Here is a 7,215-nt window from a genome sequence, read left to right as displayed (position 1 = left end):
GTGAGTGGGCCCGGAGTGGCCCCGTCTTCCCAGGAGGGCCCCTGGCAATCCAGGATCAGGTCCTGGACGCGGGGCTGAGGGCGCGGGGCTGGGGCTCCCGGGGTCCGGGTCGTGAGGCTTCTGAGGTCTGCAGTGGGCGAGTCAACTACTCAGCGCACGAGAGCCGTCCCTCCCCGCAGCCCCCGGGCCCAGCGGGCAGCCTGTGTTCTGCGACCCCTCATTCCTCCCCAGTCCGATCCCCACCACCAAAGAAATGAAATCAGAAAAGGTTTTGCACCCCTCACAGGGGCGGGGATACTGCAATACTAGACGCCCGGGCAATGCCAGTAACAGTCATCAGCTCTTACTTGACTTGACTCTTAAGAGAAACAGGGTGGTTAGGATTCACTCCTCTTTTGGGATCAGGTGAAAAAGGAGAGCTAAGCTCTTCCACACTACTCATCTAGCAAGCATTTATTGAGCACCTACACTGTACCGGGCACAGAATAATATTGTGGTTAAAATTATGGATTTATCTGGTTTATGGATATATCAGACTGTCAAAATTTAAAGTCAAGCAGGGCCACTTACCAACCGTGTGGTCTTGGGCAAGTTATTTACTTATATTCCCCTTTACTTATCTGTAAAGAGGGAATAATAATTTCACCTACTTGTAGGATTGTCGCTGAGTTTTAAATGAGTGAAGTATATATAGAGTGGCTCAAGGAGTCTGGGCAGATCTCGAAAAGCCTTATATGGCTACACTATGGAATTTACACTTTTCCCCATTAAAGAGGTGGTTGATTGAATGCTGTGCAGGCTAGTGATGTGATCATATTTTTCTCCGGAGATTGGACTGGATTGGGTAAGGGTGGAAGAACACTGAGGCAATTGGAATAATCTAATCCAGTGTTTCTGCAAGTGAAGGAAGAGGTATTTTAGGTAGGACTCATACTAATATTGATACAGTTACTCTCTTTAGTTCTATTAAGGAATACCTGTATATGCATTATCTAATGTCTTAGTCTGCTTGGACTGCCATATAAAGTGCAGTAGACTGGGTGGTTTAAATGACAGAAATTTATTTCTCACAGTTCTGGAGGCTGGGAAGTTCAAGATCAAGGTGCTGGCATGGTCAGATTCTAGTGAGGGTCCTCTTCTTGGTTTGCGAAACTGCCTCTATCCTCACAAAGCAGATAGAGCAAGCTCTAATAGAAACTTCTCTTCCTCTTTTTTTTTTTGAGATACGGTCCCACCCTGTTCATCATGCAGGCTCTACCCTTGTGACCTCATCTAAATCCAGTCATCTCCAAAGGCCCACCTTTTAATTCCATTCCCTTGGGGGTTAGGGTTCAATATATGAACTTTGAGGGGACGCAGACATGCAGTCTGTAACACCCAGACTTAACACTTTAAGTAATTTTGCCGTATTTACTTTTTAAAAAATATTTTAAGGTAAATACCAATATCAGGATATTTCACCTTTAAATACTTAAATAGGCATCTCTAAAATTTCAGGATACTTTTCTATATAACCATAGTATATGTCATCAACATAACACAATTAATAGAAGTTCCTCTTTATCATCTAATACACATTCACACTTCCTCAGTTGTCCTCCAACTGCTCCTTGAAATCAAGATTCGATCAAAAGCAATAGACTGTTATAGGTTTGGTTATTAGGACCTCCGCTCCCCTCTCCAGTCTCCCTCATCATCAACATCCTGCAACGAGGTGTTATATTTGTTACCATGGATGAAACTACATTGACACATCAGTATCATCCAGAATCCATAGTTTACATTAGGGTTCACTCTTGGTGTTGTACATCCTATGGGTTTTGACAAATGCATAATGATACGTATTCACCATTATAAAATCTCACAAAATAGTTTAACTGCCCAAAAAGTCCTCTGTGCTCTGAGTTATTAGGACTTTTAGTTTTCTCCAAATTTAATTTTCTCTATATTCTGAATTTAGAATATAACCCATTTTCCCTCCACCCCTTTTTCTTTTTTTTTTTTTTCTAGACAGAGTCTCACCTGTCTCACAGGCTGGAGTGCAGTGATGCGATCTCAGCTCACTGCAACCTTTGCCTCCCGGGTTCAAGTGATTCTCATGCCTCAGCCTCCCAAGTAGCTGTCCCAGCTACTTTACAGGCTGGGATTACAGGTGCCTGGCACCACACCTGGCTAATGTTTGTATTTTTGGTAGAGGCGAAGTTTTGCCACGTTGGCCAGGCTGGTCTCAAACTCCCGACCTCAGGTAATTCACCTGCCTCGGCCTCCCAAGGTGCTGGGATTACAGGTGTGAACCACTGCGCCCAGCCGTCTTTTTCTTGACATTGACTTGTTGAAGAGAGGAGGCCAGGCTGTTGTCCTGTAGCATCCCATATATGTTGACTTGTTTCCTCTGGTTGTCTTTTGCCTTCTAACTCGTAGTTTCTGTCAACTGGAAATTATATCTAAAAGCTTTGATTGGGTTAGATTAAACATTTTGGGGAGAAAGAATACTTTGTAGGTGATCTTGATAGATTAATTTCAGGTTAAACATTTGCAGGGAGGAATATGATTTTTTTTTTTTTTTTTGAGACAAGGTCTCAATTGGTAGCCCAGGCTCGTGTACAGTGGCGCGATCATGGCTCACTGCAACCTTGACCTTCCCAGCTCAAGCAATCCTCCTCCTGCCTCAGCCTCCCAAGTAGCTGGGACCACAGGTGATTGCCACCATGCCTAATTAACTTTTTTATTTGTATAGAGATAGGGTCTCCCCATGTTGCCCAGGCTGGTCTCAAACTCCTGAACTCAAGCACTCCTCCTGCCTCGGCCTCCCAAAGTGCTAGGATTACAGGCTCAAGCCACCATGCCCAGCCTATAGTATTCTTTATAGGTGATCTTGTATATCTCATATAGCATCATATAAGGAAGCCAATAATGTTTGGTAGTACTTAAATTGAGTAAAGGTGACAGCTTGTAAATAATATTAGAAAGTATTATTTTCCCCCTTGTAAGAGCAAGTGAGTATTGGGGTAATACTTAGAAATCATACCTATATATCTAGTTTCCCATTAACCTTTTACCTGTGTGTTTTAGCATCCTTGCCTGAGTCAGTTATTTTATTAGGAGTTGCAAAGAGGTTATTTTTCTAATTTTTTTTTAACATTTATGATTGGCTGCCATGCTTTTGTACAAATGAGCTTTTGCTCATCAACTAGGGCTATTTGGTTATCCTTAAACTTATTTTTTTTTGTTTTTGAGACAGGGTCTTACTCTTGCCCAGACTGGAGTACAGTGGCTCGATCATAGCTCACAGCATCCTCCAACTCCTGGGCTTAAGCAATCCTCCCGCCTCAGCCTCTCAAGTAGCTGGGACTATAGGCACATACCACCCATGCCTGGCTAATTTTCAAAAAATATCTTGTGGAGATGGAGGTCTCATTGTGTTGCTCAGGTTGGTCTTGAACTCGGAGGCTCACACAATCCTCCTGCCTTGGCCTCCCAAAGTGCTGGGATTACAGGCATGAGCCACTGTGTCTGGCCATCCTTAAATGTTAAACTGAGATGCAATTTTTTTGGGAAAGGAGTAAAGGATTAATTCTTTTCTGTAATCTCCTGATACTGGAAGGCTGAAGAGAATGAAGGTCAGAGCCAGGGTATCCCCCCAATCTACTCCTGGGTTTCTAGGATTTAGTAACTGTATTGTTTGTTCATTTTATTTTATTTTTTAATATATGGAAAGTGATACTGTTTATTTATGAGGCTGATACCAAGTTTCTTTTAAAAATAAATTTAAATAATAACTATGATTCTTATAGGGCACAGATGAGGCAAAAATTGTGTAAGAGGTCCATGATCTAAAGATTAGGAAACTATTTGAAGCAAAATCGAGTGTGGAAATCTGGACGGTGTCAGTGAGATTGATCAGAGGGACTGAATATGGGTTATTAAGAAGCTGAATAGACTTCCTATTAAATTGGAGGTAGAAAGAGAAGAAGGAATCTAGGATGTTGTCTGGTTTCATGGCTTGGGTGCTTGTGCTTCAGATAGAGATAGGGAATACAAGAAAGGCACATTTTTTGTTTCTATTACTAGTGAAGAATGAGGGTCAAATATTAAGGAGAGGTATACTAAGTCAAAACTTGTATGTTTTTTTCCTGTCATTTTAAGAAGGTACAGATTTAATATGTTTAACAAGGTTAATATAATATGCAGCAATGTATTTTGGATAATGAGCTGAAGTAGAGGAAAGTGAGCGAAAGTAGTTTCTGTGGTGAAAATTCACTAATGACCCATTTTACTCCTTTGAGCACTTGTCTGACACTTTGTATAAAGTATGTGCTCAATGAGAATTGATTAACTTAAGTCTAAAAAATGGAATCTCTCTTCTGTTTCTGTGCCTGGTATGTTTCTTATTAATGTCTGTTTTCTACAACACTCTTTTGCTGTCTCTTTGATCTCAAGGATTATTCTTTGATTAGCAGAGTTGAAAGCTCAACTCTATAAAAATTTTTTTTGAAAACCTGATAGAGTAGTTACAGCTAATGATTTGATTATATTTTAATTTATCATCAAAGAGCAGATTTTTTGGGTTTTAACTAAATACTTCTATTTAGAGCCCATTTTGATGACCTAAATCAGAATTTATTGCTTTTACATTTTTTGTAGAATGGCTTTAAGTGTCATTGTATGTCCGAATCTCATCAGAGACAACTATTGCTGGCTTCAGAAAATCCTCAGCAGTTTATGGATTATTTTTCAGAGTAAGTAACTCAAAGAACTCTTTATCTTATAGGCTTTATTCAGTTGAACATTTAATAGATGGTTAATATTTTAAATATTGGAAGTTCTATTATTTCTTATATGTTAACTGTATTCTCTCTATGCTCAGTTTTTATCTTCTTTTGAAAATTAATCATAGTATAAAACTGTTACAAAATTATTTCTCACAACTTAGTTTTTCCTTTCTTCCACTTCAGATATACAAAACTGTCTTTCATTCTAATACAATTGTGACAAAGAACATAGGTTCTGCATTCAGACTTCCCAAATTCAAATCCTTCTCCATTTAAAAACTGTATGCCTTTGGATGACCTACTTAAGTTTTTCTGTGGTTTATTCTCCTCATCTCTAAAATGGCACTAAGAAGCCAGGCGAGGTGGCTCACACCTGTAATCCCAGCACTTTGGGAGGCTGAGGCGGGTGGATCACAAGGTCAGGAGTTCAAGACCAGCGTGGCCAAGATGACAAAACCCCGTCTCTACTAAAAATACAAAAATTAGCCGGACATGGTGGTGGGCACCTGTAATCCCAGCGACTCAGGAGGCTGAGGCAGGAGAATTGCTTGAACCGGGGAGGCAGAGGTTGCAGTGAGCCGAGATTGCACCATTGCACTCTAGCCTGGGCGACAGAGCAAGACTCTGTCTAAAAAAAAAAAAAAAATGGCACTAAAAATAGCAACCTCTTCTAAGTATTGCTGATCCTTCATAGAGTTTATATGAAGGTCAATGAATTAACACTTTATGAGTGCTTAGAAGAGTGCCTATATTCAATTCAGATTAGCTGTTCTTATCATTACCATTAATAAACATTTCTTTGCTTCTTACCATCTCTTTCTTTCCAAACTTCTAGACATTTTGGTCCTAGGACCCCTTTATACTTTTAAAAAATATTGAAGACCCCAAGAACTTCTGTTTATGTGGGTTAGATGTATCAACACATGGAAATAAAAACAAGTTTTTTAAAAAAATTGGTTTATAAATTTTTATTATTGTTATTATTATTGAGACGGGAGTTTCGCTCTTGTTGCCCAGGCTGGAGTGCAGTGGCACCATCTTGGCTCGCTGCAACCTCTGCCTCCTGGGTTCAAGCAATTCTCCTGCCTTGGCCTCCCAAGTAGCTGGGATTACAGGCATGCGCCACCACGCTCCGCTAATTTTTTATATTTTTAATAGAGAAAGGGTTTAGGCATGTTGGCCATGCTGGTGTTGAACTCCTGACCTCAGGTGATCCACCCACCTCACCCTCCCAAAGTGCTGGGATTACAGGTGTGAGCCAACATGCCAGGCATTTTTTTTTTTTTTTTTTTTTTTTGACAGGGTCTTGTTTTGTGGCATAGTCATGGCTTACTACAACCTTGACCTCCTGGGCTCAGGCGATCCTCCTGCTTCAGCCTCCCATGTAGCTGGGAACATAGATGCACACCACCACACCTGGCTAATTTTTTGATTCTGTGTGTGTGTGTGTGTGTGTGTGTAGAGACAGGGTCTCACTTTGTTGCCCAGGCTGGTCTTGAACTCCTGGGCTCAAGTGATCCTCCTCTCTCGATCTCCCAAAGTCCTGGGATTACAGGTATGAGCCATCATACCCAGGCCAAACAAAATTATTTAATGCTTTTCTATTGACTGCACAAAACTCAGCCTCTTTCGCATGACATTCGGGGTACTTCAAAAATTAGCCAAACCTTATTTTGGTTTCCCAGCCACCTCGTCTCCCTTATTCTACTCTACCCTCACTCTCACTCTCATTTTTATCAGCCATAAATTTTAGTCAAATTAGGCCATTTCTCAGATCTGTGAGGCTTTCATGTTTCTGTGCCAGCTGGAAATAGCTTTCTCTTGCAGTTCACCTCTAGGGTTCTACTTATCCTTCACTGACCACAATGAAATCACCTCTGGGCATCTCCTGTGACTCTTTCAATGGTATTTTGTTACACTTCTTCTTCAGTTTAACTTTTGTTATGATTGGTTATGCTAGATTGTAACCTCCTTGAAGGTTAAGATTTATGTCTTATTCACCCACGTTTATCTAGCACTTAATACGGTGTACCCAGCTCAGAGGGACATATTAAGTGCCAATTTCATGTGGAATCAGGGCAGTTTTGTTGTCATAGATAGACTGGGGTCATTATGCCACCATCAGTGGCACTAACAGACTTCATGAAGGACCCATTCCAAAGGTATGTGGTAACTGTTTCTATGACTGCTTTACCAAGACAAAAAATTTCAACTCCCAACTGACTTTTAACTTAATCCTTAAAAGCTATAATATTTTGGAGTTCTTTCCTTGATCAGTTTTTAAAGGTTCATAGCCATATTCATGTAGATGTTTCACATATCATTTGGACATTAAAACTATACTACTGGCTAGATGCAGTGGCTCACGCCTGTAGTCCCAGCACCTTGGGAGGCTGAGGCAGGTGGAGATCACCTGAGGTCACGAGTTTGAGACCAGCCTGCC

At 40.8% G+C, this 7,215-nt stretch overlaps 1 protein-coding gene across 5 annotated transcripts in view; it reads left to right on the top strand.

Annotated features, from left to right (window-relative positions):
- The window catches only part of KIN (Kin17 DNA and RNA binding protein), a 37,032-nt gene that overhangs the window by 174 nt on the left and 29,643 nt on the right, over positions 1-7,215 (top strand). For 4 of the 5 annotated variants that reach the window (NR_045609.2, XR_930485.3, NM_012311.4 and 1 more), the window contains exon 2: positions 4,645-4,739. The exons of the other annotated variant lie outside the window; for it this stretch is intronic. Coding sequence is in view for 2 of the 4 variants with exons in the window: in NM_012311.4 (NP_036443.1) it covers positions 4,645-4,739 (95 nt within the window). In the remaining 2 variants the exon portion in view is untranslated. The remainder of the gene's footprint in view (positions 1-4,644; positions 4,740-7,215) is intronic. 5 annotated transcript variants of the gene reach the window in all.

Source organism: Homo sapiens, chromosome 10, assembly GCF_000001405.40.
Source record: "Homo sapiens chromosome 10, GRCh38.p14 Primary Assembly".
NCBI classification, from domain to species: domain Eukaryota; kingdom Metazoa; phylum Chordata; class Mammalia; order Primates; family Hominidae; genus Homo; species Homo sapiens.
The sequence above is the reverse complement of the archived record's forward strand: the minus strand, read 5'-3'. Positions and strand labels throughout refer to the sequence as shown.